The 19,332-nt window shown below is 52.4% G+C and overlaps 1 protein-coding gene across 21 annotated transcripts in view, besides 2 other annotated features; it reads right to left on the reverse strand.

Moving 5' to 3' along the window:
* The window catches only part of SFXN5 (sideroflexin 5), a 129,677-nt gene that overhangs the window by 42,646 nt on the left and 67,699 nt on the right, over positions 1 to 19,332 (reverse strand). For 18 of the 21 annotated variants that reach the window (NR_138476.2, NM_001371739.1, NM_001371738.1 and 15 more), the window contains 4 exons: positions 16,844 to 16,897; positions 15,750 to 15,806; positions 14,268 to 14,333; positions 3,577 to 3,667 (listed from right to left, as the gene is read on the reverse strand). Coding sequence is in view for 20 of the 21 variants with exons in the window: in NM_001371739.1 (NP_001358668.1) it covers positions 3,577 to 3,667; positions 14,268 to 14,333; positions 15,750 to 15,806; positions 16,844 to 16,897 (268 nt within the window). In the remaining variant the exon portion in view is untranslated. The remainder of the gene's footprint in view (positions 1 to 3,576; positions 3,668 to 14,267; positions 14,334 to 15,749; positions 15,807 to 16,843; positions 16,898 to 19,332) is intronic. The other 3 variants (NM_001330412.2, NM_001330411.2, NM_001371743.1) reach the window with 2 other exon arrangements.
* Positions 4,419 to 4,618: a silencer, noted in NCBI's record as "fragment chr2:73216229-73216428 (GRCh37/hg19 assembly coordinates)". NCBI's record gives its function as "represses an EF-1alpha promoter that drives an FKBP-Casp9 reporter gene in an ReSE screen in HepG2 liver carcinoma cells {active_cell/tissue: HepG2}" and the evidence as "EXISTENCE:reporter gene assay evidence [ECO:0000049][PMID:32094911]".
* Positions 16,459 to 16,753: an enhancer, noted in NCBI's record as "tiled region #2442; HepG2 Activating DNase matched - State 5:Enh". NCBI's record gives its function as "activates a minimal TATA promoter and a strong SV40 promoter by Sharpr-MPRA in HepG2 cells {active_cell/tissue: HepG2}" and the evidence as "EXISTENCE:reporter gene assay evidence [ECO:0000049][PMID:27701403]".

The raw sequence follows: 19,332 nt of genomic DNA on the forward strand, positions 1-19,332 counted from the left end.
CCGTGCAGCCCCCAGGAGCTCTGCAAACCTCAAGGAGGCCTGCAGTCACAGAGGTCCTGGTGGGAAGGGGCTGAAGGAGGGTCTCGTCAGAGGCCTCGTTTCCAGATGAGGAGACAGCGGGTAGAATGGGGTGGGAATGGTGGAGTTTGGTGTGGGGTCCAGGTGCGTGTGTCTCAGGCCACTCTTAGGCAGTGTGTAGCCCACCTCCCAGGCTTCAGGCTGGGGCCTGCAGAGGAGCTGGCAGAGCCTTGGGAAGAAGAAACTGACTCTTGGGGATTCCTTGTTCCCCAGAGCTTGAGTTCCCAACCTGCTCAGAAGTGTGAGAGCCTGGATGCGGCCTCTGACCACAGGGCACAAGCCTCTTCAGGACCCCCATCACCCTGAAGACCCCCTTCCACTCCACTCACATCCCAACAACAGAGCTTAAATATGATCACTGCCACTTTCCCCAACCTCCTTCCCATGTGCAGTCACTGCTCAGTGAGTCCTGTCTCTGCAAGCAGCCTAAAGGGACAGGGGACCCTCCACAAGGTCAAGCACAGCCTGAGCCAGCTTCTTGGTCACCTTTAACAGTGGCCCAGCCAGGTCTGGCCTAGCCTACCTCGGAGACCTGCAGTGAACCCCGGGCAGGACCTAGGCCCTGCCAGCACCTGGTGCAGCTTAGGGATACTCTGGCCAGGGGTACCTGGGGATAAGGTGAAGAGAGGCCAAGTACAGGGACTGGACGGTGGCCTGAGAGGACCAGGGGGCTTTTGAGTCCCTGGTGGGAAAGGGCCACACCTAATCATCTCAAAACTGTGTCAGCATGGACTAGGGCAGTCCGCAAGTGTCCACTTGCAGATGAGAGCGATGGACATAGGGACTAGAGAGATGGAAGCCTGTGGGGGGGTGGGAGGGGAGACTGGGGCTGGGGCAGAAGGCAGGCAGGTACCCAGCCAGGACTCAGCAGCCAGGCCAGAGGAAGAAGCCACAAAGGGCCTGCCTCTCCCTGGATCCCGCAAGCAAGGACTGTCAGGGCTTAAACCACATTATGCAACCCGTGAGGGATGTTCAGGATCTCAAGACAACAGTGGCTGCACCTGTGTGAGCGGCTGAAGCCTCATTCCCAAAAAGAAGAGGGGAGGGGAATTACACTGGAGTCTGAAGAGGGGCAGGTCAGAAAGTCTCAGACCCAAAGCAGGGACTCTCCTCCTGAAAGAGTCCCAGAGAGGTTAAGACCACCTCAAGGTGACACAGCAAGATGGCCAGTAGGGCTGGAATGGGCCCCCGGCAAAGTTCTTATCTAAAGCTTGGCTAGGGACAGATTACATCTTGGCCGAATCCCAGATCCAGCCCAGTGCAGCAGAGCGCTGCCCCTTCTCAGGCTGCATCTGACCCTGCAGCTGAATGGCCGGGAACACCAGTTGGGCAGCCGTGTTTGCTTTATTAGGCCCCTTAACGAAGTCAGATCTAAAGGGTTATTCCATTAATGGCCCACGACAGAAATAGCTGAAAGTTCATTAAAAGTGTGGAGTTGCTATAGCAATTATCTGGGCTGGCTGAGGCTGAGCCAGGTGGCTGGTTCTCGGAATTCATTAGTCTCTGGGTCATCCAGAGGTGGGGCTGCCCAGCAATGACCTCTCACCCTCTCACAGGGCTTTGCAGGTGCTTCAAAGCACCCTCCTCTCAGTGGAAACTGGTTTGTGGCCTCACTTGCTCCTCCCAGAGCTCTGGGCTGTAGGAAGGTGGGTACTGGTACCCGCCTTTTACAGATGGAGAAGCAGGGCCCTGTAGATGACGATCAGGGTCAGGACCATGAGCCTGGGTCTGACTCCAGCTCTTCAGATGGTGCCTTGGTACCACAGAGGTCACGAGTCCTCATGCCCTGTGCTGGCCTGTCCCCATCGTTGTCCTTTGGCACAGATGGGGAGCTCTGCTGTTATGGTTCAAGGACTGGTTTATCCTTCTCTTTTGACAGCTATGCACTGCCTTACACTGCTCTCAATACTGTTTATTTCTTTTTAGTTTTAAAAACTCCTTCCACTATTTTGCCCTTCTCCCCAAACAAGGTGTAGGCTTCTTAAGGGCCAAGCAGAGTTTTGTGGCATCTCCAGGGCCCCAGCCTGGGGCATCTATGGTGAGCTCATAGACTCCAAGTTCAGCAAAGACGCAGCTGAAATCCCCTCCACATATACCTGTGCGCCCACAATCACCTGCGTAGAGCCAAGGCCTCTGAAACCTAGAGGCTCACAATACCCAAAGGCTTGAAACCTAGACTAGCAGAAGCTTGCAGGCTTCTTTTGTACCACGAACCACTCTGGTAGTCTAGTGAGGCCTATGGACCCCTCTCAGAATAATGTTTCTAAATGCATAAAACAAAACACATAGGATCACAAAGGGATCATCCTGAAATTACCAAAATATTGTGATATAGTAATAGATGTTTTTTGGGGTTTTTTTTGTTTTGTTTTGTTTTTGAGACGGAGTCTCACTCTGTCACCAGGCTGGAGTGCGTGATCTTGGCTCACTGCAACCTCCAACTCCCTGGTTCAAGCCATTCTCCTGCCTCGGCCTGAGTAGCTGGGATTACAGGCATGCACCACCACACCCAGCTAATTTTTCTATGTTTAGTAGAGATGGGGTTTCACCATGTTGGCAAGGATGGTCTTGATCTCCTGACCTCATGATCCGCCTACCTCGGCCTCCCAAAGTGCTGGGATTACAGGCATGAGCTACCACACCCAGCCTAGATGTGCTTTTTAACTAATGAATTAAAAACAAGATCTATCAGTTGATGTATTAAATATGAATTAGTGACCGGGCATGGTGGCTCACGTCTGTAATCCCAGCACTTTGGGAGGGTGAGGCAGGTGGATCATGAGGTTAGGAGTTCGAGACCAGCCTGGCCAACATGGTGAAACCCCATCTCTACTAAAAATGCAAAATTAGATGGGCATGGTGGCGCATGCCTGTAATCCCAGCTACTTGGGAGCCTGAGGCAGGAGAATTGCTTGAAGCTGGGAGGTGGAGGTTGCAGTGAGCCGAGATTGCACCACCATACTCCAGCCTGAGTGACAAGAGTGAAACTCTGACTCAAAGAAAAACAAAGAAAAAGAAAAAAGAAAGAAAATATGAATTAGTGTTGAGCATAAATAATATTTTAAGACCTCTGTAACAACTGTAATGTGCCATGAAAACATCTGTGATTTCTACTGGTGACAAAGTCACAGGTCCTGCTTCTGACTGTGGTTTGCTGCCTGCATTCGTAACGGAAGGAAATGTTAAAATGCAGTTAGAGGTTAATGTAAATCTTTTCCCTGACCAAGCTCACAGGATCCGCTGCATTCTGTCTACTGACCCCTTGGGGGTCTGGGACTGCAGCCTAAGAACCCCTATGCTGAAAGCAGAATCTCAGCACAGAGCTGGTCAGTGGGACCCCATGGTCTTGTCTTTTAGCTAAACATATTACACCAATTCTCCCAGCTGGGTGCCCCCTGGGCATCAGGAGAGGTGTGGAAGGGTCATCTGTCTCCCTGGGAGCCCAGCGGTCCCCCACACCCACCCACAGCACACATCTATGTGGTGTGCAGGTCTTACCTACAGCAGGGAACGGCACAAACCTCTGGATGAGAAGGCGGGTGGCTGGGGTGAACTTGTTGGCTTTCTGAACCAGGACATTAAGGCCCACCTTTGAAAGAAAAAAATAAAAACACAGAAAAAGTACATGATGCTGCAGTGGCTTGTGGGAGGAGGGGGCAGAACTGGAGGAACATCAGAGAGTGAGGGATGTCATCTTTCCCCACAACTGCACCTCACACCCCTAATCCTCAGCGTCACCTGAGGTTGCAGAGCTCCAGCGTCGCTGCTTAAAGTACCACTGCCCAGTCATCCCAGGTAACTGGCCCATGAGAAAGAGGGAGAGAGGTAAAGCATCAGAGACATACACACACACACACACATACACACACATTTACACACTCATACACACACACTGCAGAGGAGAAAAGGGATAGGATGCTGTGGCAGTTGCTCGTAGAAGAATACATACTCCATGAATAAATGAAGTGTAGGAAGGCCTCATTCCCACCCCAGCCCTAAGCACCATCTTTCTGAAACCCCATGGTACATGCAGGTGTGGGCCCAGCCAGACCATAAGGGCTCAGGACAGGGAGACCCCGACACCTGCCCACAGGCTGCAGGACTAAGCAGCATAGCTCAGGGCAGGATGGAGGGTGAGGCGGATGTCCTGGACTCACTGTCATCGCCTTCATACCTGTCACCTGGCCCAGGATGCCAGACACCCCACCCCAGCCCCTGCCTGGGGTCTTCGTCACTCCAGTCCATCTCCTAGGCTCTTTCATCTTTCGAGAGCACAGGCTTTCTCATGTGTGCCACACCAGCTCCTCTCTATGACCAACGTGTCTGAGAAAGTGTCATCTCCTTCCCACAGCAGCCTTGGCCTCCATAACCTCACTTCCCCTCTCCCCCAAAAACCCAAGTTCAACCCCGAGAGTCCAGTTTGCTGCCCATCAGATCCTCCGTGAGCCTTCCAGCCATGGGGCCTTTGCAGTGCTGGTCCCTGTGCCTGGGATGCCTCCCTCCTCCGCTCAGTTCACACCTGTTCTTTCAGGCCCACCCATGAGTTCCACCTCCAGTGTCACTTACTAGCAGTGGGACCTGAGGCAGGTAAGTCATTTCATCTTTCTCTGTCTCAGTTTACCTATCTGTAAAAAGGGATAGTAATACCTACAACACCCCAGGGCTGGTATAAGAATGTATGTAAGTGGTGGGTGTGAGCTTGGCATATAAGAGACCTCAATAAATGAAGCTATATAATCATGATGTCACGGGACCGGATGGGGTGACTGCACCTTTTTCATCTTTGTATGTCCACCACTTAGGGCTACACTCACTGGCACATAGTACACGCTCAATAAACTGGTGACTGAGGAATAAATGCAGGAACCAACAAACATACGACGGCATGGAAAAGGCAAAGGCTGGGAGTGGGGCTTTGCGGAGGAGAGAAAGATGGGGTTGGGCTAGGCAGAGGAAAAGGACTTTCTGGTGGAGAAATGCATACAAGTGCAGGCCTGGAGAGAGAAAAGACAAGATGCATGAAACCAGAAAAGGAGTTGGGTTGCAGAGGCCTCTGCTTCCCCAGACAGAGGCCAAAGCCAGCCCCTGTGCTGTCTTTTCTGGGAAGCGTGGGAGGAGCCGTGGCAGGACTCCTGGCCTGACGGGCCGGGGCAGCCTGCTCTGAGGTCTGGCACGCCTGGCGGCTCAGCAGCCCACCCTGTGCCCTCAGGCCTGGCTCTGGCCTTAATGTTGTGGGTGGTTGGGGAGGACGCAGAGCCTTGGGAAGGCCTCCAGGGCTGCCAGGCGCCTGCCGCTGTTGGGGCAGGGTGCAGCAAGGCAGAAACAGCCCAGCCCAGGCTGCGACTGTGAGACCCAGGAAGACAAGGAAGTGCTGGTCCGCCAGCCCCGGGGCAGCGCAGCATTCCGTGGAGCCAGAGTACTTCCTGGCATGCCCACCCTGGGCTCTCGGGAACACAGCCTCCATCTTAAGTCTCAGGCTGATCCTCAGAGTCCAATCCTTGTCCTCCCAGCTCGCTCGAGGGAAGGCTGGGAGGCAGCCAGGGGCATCACGGCGTGGACACACTTCAGTGGTACAGTGGGCAGGGCTGGGGAGCTGCCGGCTCATACTGGGCCCTGCTGCCCCCGCCACATGAATAGAATTCATCAAGTCCAGGAGCGAGTGACTCAGAAATGGCCTCCCTCACCCCCAAAAAAGTGCATTGAGAGAAAGTGTGGGAGGAAGCTGGAGGACACGCAGACGGGCAGTAGCAATGAAGAGGAGGGGGGCTCGGGAGAACTCAGTGAGCACTTCCTACGTGAGGCCACTCAGCACATATTCACATGAAATATCTTAATGAGATCCCCACAACAAGGCTTTTAGATAGACCATGTTGGCCCTTTTCACAGATAGAGACAGGTCCAGAGAGGTTAAACAACTTTGCTCAAGGATAGACATCTATTATGAGGCAAGTAAAGCTAGCATTTGAACGCAGGGCCTGCTAATTCCAAAGCCTTGCTCCTAACCAGGGTGCTATGACTTTCCCATTGTCTTCCACCTGAGGGAGGGATGCTTTAATATCTCCAGGCGTTTGAACGGCACATCTGCATAGCAAGCACCTCCCTGACAATGGCCACCTTGGGGCTGGGGTCCTAACGAGTGGAAAACAGAAGGCAGCTCCTGCAGGGAAGATAGGGCCCTTGAACCATCCCTGCCCCCAGCAGCCAGAAGTCAGAAGATCTGGGTTCAAAATCCTGCTTGACAATTTAAGAAGATATAGGAAGTGCTGGAAGAGGCGGGGAACAGGAGCCATTCACGGAAGTGAGCAGAGAGGCTGGGACCCTTCCCCATGACAGCCTCTTGGGGGTAGGCAGGGCTGGAGAGCAGCGGGAGGGAAAGGAGGAAAGGTGACCATCACATTTCCCTCCCCCTCTCCAAAGCCTCCCCCTCCCTGGTCGGCCATTCTTCCCACTGGCTAGGCCTGGCACAGCCCAGAGTGTAGGGAGGAAGAACGAAGAGAGAAAACAGTGTCCTCGTCCCAGGTTTCTTCTGGCCTCTCCTTCCCTGAAAGTCACCAGGGTCTCCCAGCATGGATGGGGTGACATATAGTGCGGCACACATATGTTTCTGAGAGCATGGCCAACGTGCCTGCGCCCAAGAAAGGGGCTGGGGACCAGCAAAGTAGGGAGGAGACCTGGGCATGTGTGTAGCTGTGAGCTCATGAGGAGTCAGTGAGGTCACAGTGCCCACTTGCCAGTGATGGGCCCAGTGGCAGGGAGGGCGTGGACACGGAAAAGGCAAATGGCCACTTACCCTCACCCCTTCCCAGGCCCCAGCCCAGGTCTTACCGCCCCAGCACCTAGGACAGCCACGGCCTGAGAAGGAACCCAAGATGGCTGCAGACCAGGGGTTAGGAGCCCGTCTGTTCTGGTTCCTCAGGGCCCTTTGGCCTTGAACATTTGGTAGAGCCCGTTAAAATTAAAAAGCCAAGAGGCTGGTGGCTCTGAATGCCAGCTCGTTTTTCCCTGGCACGGCGGGTCCTGTTTAAGGGAACCAGCTGGTATTAATGGCACACAGCTCATCACAAACAGCAGCTAGCGATCAGAAAAATCAGAGCTAATAATCGGGTTCAGGAAAGATAATGAGATGTGGAACAATTACTGCTGAGGGTCCCCCAGGATCTGTTTTAACAGCATCCAAATAAGCCACAAAATAGAAATTAACCAAACAGGAGCTCCATTTTGGTAGATGGGGAAAACAAACAGGGTGTGGATTTTGCACAAGAATTTCTTATATGGCCAGCAGACAGGGCTTCTTGGAAAACCAGGGCTCAGGCCCCACAGGACATCAGCAACATCCTGAAGGAGGGAATAGGCCTTCTTGACCACCTATCTCCAAGGTCTGGCTACTGGGCCAGTGAATTTGCCATGAGCAGCTGACAGGAGACCAGGGGAAAAGGAGGGAAGGCCGGCTTCCTGATAGTCCCCACGGAGATGGGAACAGGGCTGACCAGCACCAGGAGCTATGGGTGGGGTGGGAGCTTCATGACACCAAATCTTTAGTGTCATGAGCTACACAGCTGGTGGCTGTAGCCTTAAGTACCAAGGGCTTTCCGGGCCAACAACAGGCCAGCAAGGAGACACTGGATGAGGCTGGAAGAATGCCTGCATCCCTCTCCCCGCATCTGTGCCCCCACTGCAGCCTGAATATCCATTGCCTGGAGGATGCCTCTGTGTCCAAGGGCTCTAGGCACTCCAGCTTCTCGCACCCCAAATGAAGGTTGTCTCGTTCTTCCTCACCCACACCCCAGCCTCCTCGCCCATTTCCAGCTCTGCTTCTCATGCCAGAGACCTCACAGCGTTCTGGGCAGGAGCCTCCTGGGGCCCACGTGTAACCATGGCTCCCTGGTGCATCTCCCGGATGTCATGAATGCAGCTGTTTGCTCTCCCTGCTCCCAACACTCAGCACGCAGCCTCTGTCCCTGGATGACAGTGCACCTCCTAACCAGGCCCCCTGTTTCCACTCTTGCCCCCATCCATCTGCTCTCTACAGCAGTCGGAGTGAAGTCTGAAAACATGGCGACTTGCTTAAAGCCTTCGGTGACACTGGAGGAGCCACACGGCCCTGCGGGACTGCCTGGCTTGCTTGCAAGGCTCTGGCTACCTGTATGAGGAGGTGCCGTGAGGGAGTGGGCCCAAGGGTCATGAAGGCTCCTGAGGAAGGGGATGCCTGCCTGAGCCCTGAATAGGAGGCTAGGAAGGGAGCAGGGCTCAGCCAAGGATCAGAAGCATGAAATACCAGGTTGTCTGCGGGGTACTCAGACGACAGTCTACAGACTCTATTGCATCAGTCATTATGGGGGTCCAAATAGCCCTGAAGAACAATGGAGTAAGGGGCACGCCTAAAAGGAGGGCCCCTCTTGGGTGGTAGATAATAATGTAACCAAGGTTAGGGGTTTGTGAGGGCACCGGGGGCAAGGGTGGGGGAAGGTCAAGGAATTGCTGAAGTACCAAAAATATCCACCAGAGGGCACACTTAGTAGCACACATTGGTAGTCAAGTGGACCCAAGACCCTCCATGGAGGTCAATTGTTCCCCAACCCCAGCCAGCCTGCCGCTTGGCAATGGGGTCAGCAGCAAAGTAGCCAAGTAGCTGGGACAGAGCTCTGCACAGGCTAAAACATCAGTTGCTCCAGCTGTGACCAAGTGGCTTGTTTGCTGGCAACAGTGACCAATCCTGACCCCTGAACCATGCCCCACAAGGGCCAGGGGGCTGCTGGGAAATCAATTACATCAGACCCCTTCTACATGGGAGGGGGCAACAACTTGTCCTACCTAGAAAAGACACAGAGCTGCTTTCTGTGTCTGACTCACACTGCCAGCATCACCATCTGCAGGCTTCTGAACACTGCAGATTCTCTACAGGGTCCATGAGATGGACCCTCCAAACCCAAAGCCACCCCCTGAACACAGCAAGACAATAGTCTGGTCCAGGATTCCCAGGTGCTGTCGTCCCCCTACCTCTCTCCAGCCTGGAGAAGAACAGAAGGGCCTGAGGTACACCCTCCACCACAGAGCCAGCCAGGCCCTGTCTTATAGGCGGCAGGGCATGCTCTGGGCCAGGGACAAATATATGCCGCTGACTTGACTATAGCCAGAAAACACAGGCCCAGGAACTAAGTATGAAGGTGAGCAGAGGGTTGAACTCTGTTATACCTAAAGAACCTCTCAAAAAATGTCTCCCAGTCCCCACTGCTCTCAGGGTACCTGGGGAAGGACTTGTCTGCCAGGAGGCGGCACGGTAATAGCTCCTCCAACCTAGAAGCTGAGAACACCACTCGGCTTCTCCCACCTCCTTATGCCACAGGGGGTGCAGCAGGAAAAAGGAAAAAGGGGTCTCTGTGTGTGATTAAGCCTGGGTAGGCCCTGTCACTTACTTCACCTCCATGCCTCAGTATCCTCGTCTGTAAAATGAGGATGAACACCTAAACAATGCCTGGCGTGCTGTAGGCACTCCAGAAGTGCTAGCCATTATTACTAATCTCATGACTACTTTCCAGTCTGACTATCCAGGGACACAGAGTTGTCAGTAAGCAATGGGAACTGGAAGGTGTATGGGTTCAGCACAGGGATCCCCTGGAACCCCTTCTTCTATGCCAGTGTCTGGTAGTGAAGGTTAACAGCCACTGCATCCTACACAGAAGGGACCCCCCAGGGCCCAGAACCTTTGAGAATGGAGCTCAGCATTGCCCCAACAGGGAAAGACCTCAGCCAGCTAAGAGGTCTGGGGACAGCTAAGGGTGTGAGGAATGGGCGTGAAGTGCCTCTCATCATGTGGCTCCCCCAGGCAGCTCCTGACTGGTCCCACAGCACTTCATCCCTGAGTCTTCCTCTCCAGCCCCACGTCCACCCTCATTCAGGCCCCTTGTCCATGAGGGTGGCCCCACCCCTTCTCCTCCAGCCCACTTCCACCTGCACCATCTGCGACACCCAGGTTCCCGAGCCCAGGCAGGGCTCCAGGCATGGCCTCCTTCCACCTGAGCAAGGCACTCATGGCACCTCTTGACTGGCCCTGATCCTCCTCCACTCACGATCACCATCACTCCCTACCCGGTGGCCGCCCTCCTGTTCTGAGCCCGGAGTTGGTCATGCTCTCCTGTGCACCTCTGCTTGTACGGTGCCCTCTCTCTGGAACACCCACCCTGCCTGCCCCTGGCTCTCTCCATTCTGTCCTACGAGTCAGCCCTGTGTGAAGTAGGGGCCCCTCCCTGCTCCCACCACACCCTGGGGTCACCTTCATCATAATTCTGATTATACCACAGAGCCTTCTAGCTTCCCCTCTCAGTGCCTTGAAAGATATACCAGTCCCTGAAGCCCCCAGCACCTGCAAAGTACCCGCACATCACAGTCCCCCGATGGGAGTCAATGTCTCTTACTTCCTCTCACCCTCGTGTAGCCGGGGCCCAGGGAGGGCCGCCCACAGAAGTGCTTAATGCAAACTCTTGAACTAAAAAACAGTGAGGATTGAGAGAGGCTTCCTTTGTTAAAAGACAGCAAACTGTTAGATTTCAAAAATAACTTAAGACGGGATTTCTTTTTTATTCTCAAGCAAGCAGCCAGACATTGCCAAATCTATTTAGAAGGTTCACCAAGAGGCTGCTAATCCCACCCTGGTGGTCCTGCAACCAGCAGGAGTCTTCACTTGGGGGCATGCAAACTGGGGATCCCTGACTCCAGGGTTGCTGGCCAAGGTCAGGGCTCCTCTGAGTGGGGCAGGGAGCTCTTCAGGGCCCCCAGAGGAGGCTGGCCTCCACTCCAGTTTGCCCTCTGTCCCAAGGACCTGCTTGCAGCCTGTCGGCCCCCATCCATGCCGCCTGCTTGTAGGGACTCGTTTTAATTAATGCCAGAGCTGGGCCAACCACTGGGGCCGTGACACTTGTTTGCAGGTCATCTCCTCCTAACAGGCTTGCCCTGGGAGGGGATTTGTCACTAATTGAAACAGAGATCAGTTAATGAGGCTGTAGGACCTGGGGTTCCAGAGAACAAGGGAAAGGAAAATAAAATAAAGCCTCTTTCTTCAGAGGTTTTGTGACTTACACACACAAAAGAAAAGCAAGCAAGCTGCCGATTTTCCAAGTCAGAAACTCCACTCCATCTGCCGGAGTTAGACGCTCACTGTGTGAAGACGTCAGGCGGAGGGACGCCGCCACCACTAGGACTCGCAGATCGGAGGGGCCTCAAGGCCAGCGATCAATCAGTGGCCTAATTAATAAGTATTTATGGGGCAGTGCCCTGTGCTCCTCTCCATGGGGGAGAAGCCATGGTGCCCGTCCCTGGTTAACTTGTAATCCAGTGGGGATGAGGCTCAGACTGCAGAACACTAAGGGGACAGGGACACAGTGCGACTGAGTGTGAGTGGGGAGGACAGGAGTTTCCAGGACTTGTGAGGAGGGAGAGTGCTATGGGCTGGAATGGTTGGGGAAAGCCTTTCGAGGGGTGCTGGAGCTCACAGGGAGGAGAAAGGAGGGAGTCCCCAGCACAGGCACAGCCCCGCGTGAGGCCCCAGCCCCTGCCCAGCAAGAGCTCAGCTCTGGGAACCCCAGAGGGCTCCAAGTCCCCCAGTAACTCTGTCTTCAGAACCCATACCCCACAAATCTGTGCTAGGTTTGCCCTGGCAAGTGGTTGGGACGGAGCGGCTGATGGTCCCTCAGGTGGGGCAGTGAGGACTGGACACACAGAGGGCTCGGAGCTCTCAGAAAAAGCTGAGTTTTGTTTTTTTTTTTTTTTTTTTGAGACAGGGTTTTGCTCTGTCGCCCAGTCTGGAGTGCAGGGGCACAATCGTGGCTCACTGCAGCCTCGACCTTCCAGGCTCAAATGATTCTCCCACCTCAGCCTCCCAGGTAGCTGGGACTACAGGTGTGCACCACCACACCTAATTTTTTTTGTATTTTTTGTAGAGATGGGGTTTTGCTATGTTACTCAGGCTGAGAAGCTGATTCTTGTTCTCTGAGCCCCAGGCCTGCAGGTGAAGGAAGTCCACCAGGACAATGATCCCCTTCACTCAGGCCTTTCCATTCAAGGCCACTCAGCATCCTTCCCTATGTAGCCTCCTCCTCTCACCTTGCCCCTGAGTCTCAAAAAAAGGAAGGGGATTTTTGAGCTGCTAAGCTAAGCAGACCATCAGCTCCTCTCATCACAAGGAACAAGGAGGAGGTGACAAGAGTTCTTTCTCCCACTCAGGGGAGCCTTTGGCCTTCACCCACCAAGTCCCCAGTATCAGGGACCCCCAATTTGTCTGACTCCCAAATGAAGTCTCCTGCTGGGCTGCAGGACAAGCTGGGTGGCAGGTCAGCAGTCTCTTGGTGAGCCACCTGAATGTCTCACTTCTTGCTTTTGTGAAGACATAAGGATTTGGGAAAGAGATCTTGGGCATGAAATGGGACATCCCACTTCACAGCTATTTGGAGATGACTTGGTCTATGTGGGAGTGAAATAAATGAGGCCATTTCAGGACAACCCCAAGTCCCTCCTTTAGAAGAATGGTGAATTAAATTGTGGCGTATGGTACAATGGGTAATTATACAGCCGTGAACAGTTATTATACAGTATTTACTTAATGGCACTGGAAAGATGAGCAAAGGGGGTTTTACCAAAAGGTTATTGTATGTGAATTCTTCATTATATGTGAATGTTTTCTTTTTCATTAGAGATAAGATCTTGCTATGCTGCCCAACATGGCCATAAGCAATCCTCCCAACTCAGCCTCCTGAGTAGCTGGGATTACAGGGGCACACCAGCTTGCCCAGCTGAATGGTTTTGGGGTTTTTTAATTTCTTAAATTTTTTATTATTTATTTATTTTTTTTTTTTCTGGAGATGGAGTCTCACTCTGTCGCCCAGGCTGGAGTGCAGTGGCGTGATCTCGGCTCACTGCAACTTCTGCCTCCCAGGTTCAAGCGATTCTCCTGCCTCAGCCTCCCAAGGAGCTAGGATTACAGGTGCCCACCACCATGCAGACTAATTTTTGTATTTTTTTTAGTAGAGACAGGGGTTTCACCATGTTGGCCAGGCTGGTCTTGAACTCCTGATCTCAGGTGATCTTCCCGCCTTGGCCTTCCAAAGTGTTGGGATTACAGGCGTGAGCCACTGCACCCGGCCTTTTGTTTTTTTAAATGGGGTCTTGCTATGTTGCCCAGGTTGGAGTGCAGTGGCTGTTCACAGCTGCAATCATAGCACACTACAGACTCCAACACCTGGGCTCAATGATCCTCCTACCTCAGCCTCCTGAGTAGCTGGGACTACAGGTGTGCCCCACTGTGCTCAGCTATGTGAATGTTGTTTGGTTTTCATTTTCTAATTTTTTTTTTCTTACCAGTTACATTAATGTATTGTGTAATGGATGAAATGACAGAGTTGTGAAGGGGCCCTTCGCCCTCTGGAGTCGGCTATAGAAGGCCATCCTAGTGGGGATCCAGAGACAGCCAGACGTAGGTACAGGGGCGGGCTCAGGGGTGGGACAAGCATGCAGAAGGTCCTGGCAGCTTGAGCGTCCACTCTGGCTCTGGCCCAGGGCCCTGACTGTGTCACTTGCCCCTGGCCTCCTCTGGGAAGCAGGGAGCCACACCTGCCGTACCCTCACGCTCAGTCTCTGAACCTCCCCTACTGAGTAGCTGCTCTGGCCTCAAAGTACTGTGGAGACTCAGAGTGAGCCTAACGCCCCTGGCTTCGGGCACTGACAGGTCTTCAGGAAGAGCTGGACGTGTGACACCAGTAAGGCCATAGAGAGGGAAAAGCAGTGCCCCGGCAGCTGAGCAAGAGCTCAGGGGAGCAGGCACATGGGCAGGCCTTGCAGAGTCATTCAGAGGCATCCCCCCACCCCGCTCGCTCCAGCCACGTTACCGAGCATGAGGAGCAGCTCTTCCGAGCAGAGTGCTGGGCAACCGCAGCCCCACTCAAGACAGATGTCCTGCCTCAGTGCCCCCAGGCACAACCTCACCTCCCCACCTGCTCTCCATTACAGGGAGCACCAGGTTGTGCTCTGTCTACTGGAGCCTCTTCTCGGCTTGGAAAGCCTGTCCTGACTCCTCCACCCACAGAAACCTGTCTCCCAAATCCTTGCCTGGCCTGGCCCTCAGACAAGCATCCACCTGCAATGCTGAGCGGGGTGGCCCCAGAGCAGCAGAGCCAAGAAGGAGCAGGGGAGGGAGTACTCACAGCAATGGAGACGGCGCTGATGACAGCTCCCAGGTATCCCTGGATGAACTTGGATGCAGGTGAAGGCTGGAAAACAGAGGCAGAATTTCAGGCCTGCTGGGTGCCCAAAGCTCCCATACTTCCCCTTGTAAGCTGTCCCAGCCAGCAAGAAGCATCCTGCCCACCAGCCTGGAAAGTGGGTAGAAGGAAGAGGCCCCTCAGGACTCAAAGGGATCAGGCCACCCTCAGCTCAGTTCCCAATGCAGAAATATAAATCACCAGTATCCAGGGAGATACTGAAGGGCCCACTTCACTCCTGCCCTGTTCTAGAAAGGTCACTGGCAGACAGTGCTGGGTGGAGGTGGAGAACAGCAAGGCTAACATGGACCATTGAAGGCTGGGGCAAGCAGTCTTCAGTTTAGAGGCTAAATGTTTCAAGGGGGCCATTTGGCATCTGGAGCGCTTTCTAGGTGGAAATGCCAGTGTCAAGGCTCTCACAGGCCTTGCCAGCCCATGGAACAGCTGGGCTCCCATGTCAACAGATGATAGCTGCCCAATATCTCTAGAGAATAATATACCCCAAGTTCCAACACAGACAATTAAGAAAAAGCTAAGGAACTTGCCCTGTGCTACAACTGCAGGTCTAGAAGTGTCTGGTTTAAGATAAAGGGAGTCATCCAAGCAGAGATGGCCATATGTGAAGCCTATGAGAGAGACTTGGGGTGGAGGTTTAGATGTCAGGGGGCAGCCACAGCATATCAGGCCTCTCAATTCCTATGGCCCAGGCCAGCTCCTATTCCCCTCCTCTCCCCCAAGGTGAGCAAATGTTAGGACTCTCCTCTACCCCAAACTGACAGGCCCCCAAAGGGGACTTAGATGCATCCTGCCTTCTTTGCCTTTGAATTGAAGTTGGGGAGAGGTGGCCTTGCCAGCAAAGCAGGGGCCCAGCAGCCCTTCCTGGACAACAGAAGGGTGACTGGGCCTCCACCACAAGCTCTCCAAGGAGTGCAGGGGCTCTGGGGGGGAGTTACCAGCCCTGGACCCTCCCCACTCAGGAGCAGCCCTTCAGCTTGTGGCCAGCAGTCGGGACCTGGGAGCGCTAAGGCAGCTTCCAGAAATTTTGGAGGAAGCTTTATGGGAATTTTGCCCCCAAGTAGCTGATACCATCATGATCCAAAACCCAAATGTAAGAGCTACCCAAGAAGAATCTGAAAGCCAGCCGAACTCATCCCTTGCACTGCTCCCATTTAATGGGCCTTCTTCACTTCATGTAAACAGCCCCTCCCCAGAGGGCTCCTGGCCCAGAAACTGCAGCTGACCTCAGCTGAGTCATGTCTGAGTCGGCCACCCACCTGAAGGGCTGGCATTTTAAATAAGATATCTAGAGGAGGGCCATGCTTAACCAAGAGGCAGCCACTGATGGTGGCATGTCACGCTGTAGGGAGGATGACTGGGCCTCCCTAGCCTGAACCCCACCACTGGGGAGAGGGCAGTGATGCTCACCTTGGTCGCATTGCGGTTTGCATAGTTGACACAGGCATTGTGGCTCTGGTTCAGCCACTGAAAGGCAATGATGAGAGAAGTCAGGGAAGGAGTGGTCACCTCCCTGGAAGCCAGGCCTGGACCCCAGGAGGCCACACATCCCCAGAAAGGCACAGCATGCGGTCTCCAGCTCACATGGTGCCGCCCATGCTGCCGGTCAGCATGACTGACCGTCCTGGTTTGCCCAGGGCTGTGCTGGTGTTAGCACTGGAAGCCCTGCCTCTCGGGAAGTCTCTCGGTTCCTGAATGGGGTCCTGCGCACCCCAGTAGTCCACCTGATCCTGAGACAGTCACCTCTCTTGGAATGATGGCATTCACTGCCCCTGCAGACCCCACTGCCTTTGTCACACCATCTTTATTATATTACCTGCTGGACAAAAGTTGGCCTAGAATGACTGACAGCCCTACAATTCTTTCAAAAATCTCCCAGTCCAGTATCCTGCACCTCCAGTTCCCAGACACAGAGGCCGGCAGGAGTTTAGTTCAGGGAAGACTGACATTTTCTCCTAGAAGACAGACAGGTTTTCCTTCCTGCCCGTCTTTCTCTGCACACACAAACACAGAGATATCCTCAGTTTTCATGGCATCACAACCCAGACTGTCTCCAAGAGCAGGGACCAGGGTCTGTGATGCACTTCACAACCTCAGGTTAGGGGTGGATTTAGCTTCCTCAGCAGATGTGGGGGAGGCTGATGTCAAAATGAGGCTATGGGCCTCAGGGTCACTGGCCTTGGGATGAGCAGCCAAGGGGCAGAGTGGGGGCCACCCCACTGACAAGCCAGCATGTTCCAGGCAGGGGCACGCAGCCCTCATGACCTCTGTCCAAAGGTTAGAGTGACACATGGTGGATTGAGACATGCTGGGCTGCTGGAGACCTGCTCAGCAGGGCCAAAGTCCTGGTTTTCCTTCAGTGGCTTCTGGGCTAGGGGTGGTGTTGGGGTGGACTGACCCTACACGGGGTCTGGACGGGGCAGGAGACACCACAGCAGGGAGTTCTTAACCAGCACCTGTGTGGGCCCTTCCTTCAGGAGCCCTGTTTGCTGCGAGACTGTTACCTGCCAGAAGACAGTGGATGCCAGTGTCTGGTTGGGCAAGAGAAGACCGACTACCTATGAGCAAGAGAGAAGAAATGCTGAAAAAGGCAGAAGAAACATCCTATGCTTTTGCAAAGAAAAAATACGCTACCACAAATGAGTGAGCTGGATCTGTACAAACTGATGTGGTATGCCGTGTACATACAAACTGAGGTTCATTGAGGGAGAGGCTGTGTGATGGGAAAAAACCAAGTTGCAGAATTATATTACAGCATAATCTTATTTATTTAAAGAAAAATCATTTTATATATAACGATATACACAAACACATGCATACACACATTATCTTCAAGCATGAAAAAACCTGTAGTGTGGATGTCTCTGGAGGTTGGGTTGCAGATTACTTTTGCACAATCTTAAATATTTCTGTATTCTTTTAAACAACAGACATGTATTATTTCCACAATTAGGGGGGCAATAAAAACAAGCAAACAAAAGGAATACCTTCGTTTCCACTCAGGTTACCTGACTGCTCACCCTAGCCTTCCCGTAGGATTTTTGCGAGGATTAAACAAAAATCATTTCAAAGGCCTTAAGTGCTTTGTAAATACAAGTTGGGGGAATTTGTATCTGTTATCTGTGAATTTCCATGAAGCAAAAACCTATACCAGGTTTAAGCAACTGAATGAAACATAGATTTCTAATATTTGTTGAATGAGTGAAGAAAGGAATGAATGAAGAAATGAACAAATATACACATATACACATATGGCTAGGTATGGGAACATGTAGATCCATTATTCCCAAAGCCCAAATATCACCTAAGACCTAGACTTGCTGACCGTGTTTTTGGTTTAAGTCAAGATGAATGGTCTGATTTTGACACTGGCCAAGCCTTGGACTTCAGGGATCCATGTGCATCTCTCCAGTTTACCTTCTGAGTGTTTGTGTGCAAAGTAACATCTACCAAGTCCCACTGCATATGGGAAAAATGTGCACAACCATCCACATATTGACTTATTTATTATTCCTGTAGATAAAATGGCTCTTTGGCAAGAATTTCTGTAAGGAACAAGTATAAACACTCAATAATATGCAGTAAATCAAATTCTAGACATCCCCAGCAGCATTAGTAAATCATGTTTTAAACATTAAAATGTTTTAAAACAGCTAACACACACACACACAATCTATATTTATTGGCTCATATCAGTTTGAATAAAATTATATAATATAAAGCTATTCCATAGCTCCAACGAGGAATTATGAGATTTTTCCCCCAGAATGAGATCCCAACTTGATTTTTTTTTTCTTTGCAGTGGCAGCTTAGGGAATTAGAGTGAGAATCAGGGGAACCTGGGTCTTAGATTCAGCTCCATCCCCATGTGATCTCTGGCAGAAAATGATCCCCTTTGGGGCACTAACTTTCTTAAACTATGAAAGTGAAGGGGCTGACCTCAGTTTAAAATTCTACTTCCAAATTCTGGGTAGTAGGTGTCAAGTCAACAGAGACGGTCTTTTCTGTAATGGGATCCCATCTGCTAAGGAGTATCCCAGGAAACTGAGGACCTCCTCGTAGTTGGGGCCCCCAGTTAGAAGCCAGACCAGAGGGAGGGAGCTGAGCCTAGCGGGGGTGGGGATGGGACAGGGGGGTGGGTGAAGAGTACATGTGCTCCTATGTGTACACGTATGCATGCCTGACTGCCTTCTACCACCGGAGGAAGTTAATAAGGCTGTTCACTGTTTGGAGCCCAGCACGTCATCCCCTGATCTGGAGTCTACTGAACACGGTGTCTTATGGACTACACTGTCTTCTCCTCTGAATCCCCACTTACCCCTCGAACTGTACTTGGACCACCAGGAACATCGTAAGATACAGCCCAATAGCACTCACTGCATTTACCAGACAACTGCTGTCCAGGACACTGCCCGTGACACCACAGGGTTCCCTTTATAATCCTCTTGGGGGAAATATTTTCCAGTCTCAGGGTCAGGAACTGTGCCTCTGAATAACTGGTGTGCATGTGCCTTGCAGACACTGAGCCATTCAACTGAGTCTCTTTGCACCGTCAGAAGCTCAGGCCAGCTCTCCACAGCCCCATCTGCCAAGTGTACAGACCCACACTGCATGGATTCTGTGCCCAAACCTCACTTCTGGCTTCATTTTATCTTCCCTTCCCTAACCTTCCCTTTGTCTCATTTTCATCTTCACTTGATTTATCTTTAGTGGCAAGCATTTTTAAAAGTGACATCAAGTCTTTTCCAGAACAAACCAAACTAGTATTTGGGCTATGTACCACACACATACACACTGCCCATGGCTCTGTGACCAGCAAGCTTTTTACTTTGTTAGACAATCCCCACTTTGCATCCCAACCTCCTACCCTAACATGGGTCTGGAGTCCATGCTGGCACCTCTGACTGCTATGAGTCTCCTCATTCTTTCTTAAAGAGATGGATTGACTGATTTGATTTTGCCACGCATTTCACTTATCATAATCCTCATACTA

The sequence above is a fragment of the Homo sapiens genome, chromosome 2 (assembly GCF_000001405.40).
Source record: "Homo sapiens chromosome 2, GRCh38.p14 Primary Assembly".
NCBI lineage: Eukaryota > Metazoa > Chordata > Mammalia > Primates > Hominidae > Homo > Homo sapiens.